The following is a 1644-nucleotide window of genomic DNA, read 5'->3' as shown; positions in this document are numbered from 1 at the left end:
TCCACATGAAATTTACTGTCATTTACGGATATTTTCCTTGTGACCTAAAATATGATCAATTCCTGTGAATTTCCCATGTGTGCTTGAGAAGACCAGTTTGCTGTCATTAGGCATAAAGTTCAATGCATATTCATGAGGCCTGTGTCCTTTAAATTATTATGCTGCTCATTTCTTCTATTCTGTACTTATTTTTTTGTCCACTTATTCAATGCCATTAAACAGGTGAGACGTGTCCAGGGCACACCTCAATCCTGATGACTTTGAGGTTTAGTCTTTAGCTCCATCAGTGAGAGATTGCCATTGGCACATGCTGTGTTTTGGAGAACTGCACCTGGATACATTGTTCATGCAGCTGGCTATCCGCTATAGTTGCTTTTTTTTTTTTTTTTTTTTTTGAGATGGAGTCTCACACTGTCTCCCAGGCTGGAATGCAGTGGTGTAAACTTGGCTCACTGCAGCCTCTGCCTCGAGACTCTGTCTCCCAGGCTGGAATGCAGTGGTGTGATCTTGGCTCACTGCAACCTCTGCCTCCCGGGTTCAAGTGATTCTCCTGCCTCAGCCTCCCAAGTAGCTGGGATTACAGGTGTGCACCACCATGCCTGGCTAATTGTTTTGCATTTTTAGTAGAGACGGGGTTTTGCCACGTTGGCTAGGCTGGTCTTGAACTTCTGACCTCAAATAGTCCTTCTGCCCCAGCATCCCAAATTGCTGGGATTACAGGGGTGAGCCACCACACCCTGCTATATTTGCAGTTTTTCTTAGATTAGCAGTACGAAGCTTGTCTTCTCTTTCCTTTTGCACTCCTATCAATTAGTTGTAAGCTGATTTTTAAACAACAACAACAACAAAAATCATGATTCTGAGCAATGGTTTAATGCAATTTTTTTGTTTTATCCTTTTATTTTTATTTTTGGTAGAGACAGGGTCTTGCTGTGCTTCCAATGCTGTCTGGAACTCCTAGGCTCAAGCAATCTTCCTGCCTCAGCCTCTCAAATTGCTGGTATTACAGATGTAAGCCACCAAGTCCATCCAGTTTAATGCAATTTTAAATCATTTCCTGGTGGACACATGGGAAAGGCGGAATCTTTTGGAATGTGGTATTGAGACACTGTCTTTTGCTAAGAATCCTGGATGTGGTTTTGGGAAGAAGGAAGGGGTGTATCTCAGAGGCTCTTGGTACACAGTTAGCTTGGTACAGGTTGAACACATTCTTTGGGAGCTTGACAAAACTGAGGTTAACTTCATGCCAGCCTCTTTCTGTTTCTCCAGGTTTGCCTTGTGGTACCTCTGGCTCCCAGGGAGACCTCTAGAAGGCAGCCTGGGAAGGGAGGGAGCCCCAGAGTGGCTGATTGAGGGGAGGCCCACCCCCATGCCTCTAGGATCCTTACACAGCCATCAGCAGAGACTGGTAACTGGTGAGACAGGGTCTCACTCTGTTGCCCAGGTTGAAGTGCAGTAGCATGATCATAGCTCACTGCAGCCTGCAGCTGTCAGGCTCAAGCCATCCTCCTGGTTCAGCCTTCCGAGCAGCTGGGACTACAGGTGCAAGCCACCACACCCAGCTAATTAAAAATTTTTTTAAAAATAGAGACGGGGTCTTGGTATGTTATCCAGGCTGGCCTTGAACTCCTGACCTCAAATAGT

Source organism: Homo sapiens, chromosome 7 (assembly GCF_000001405.40).
Source record: "Homo sapiens chromosome 7, GRCh38.p14 Primary Assembly".
In the NCBI taxonomy this organism is placed as follows: Eukaryota; Metazoa; Chordata; class Mammalia; order Primates; family Hominidae; genus Homo; species Homo sapiens.
This window is presented reverse-complemented; position numbering follows the sequence as displayed.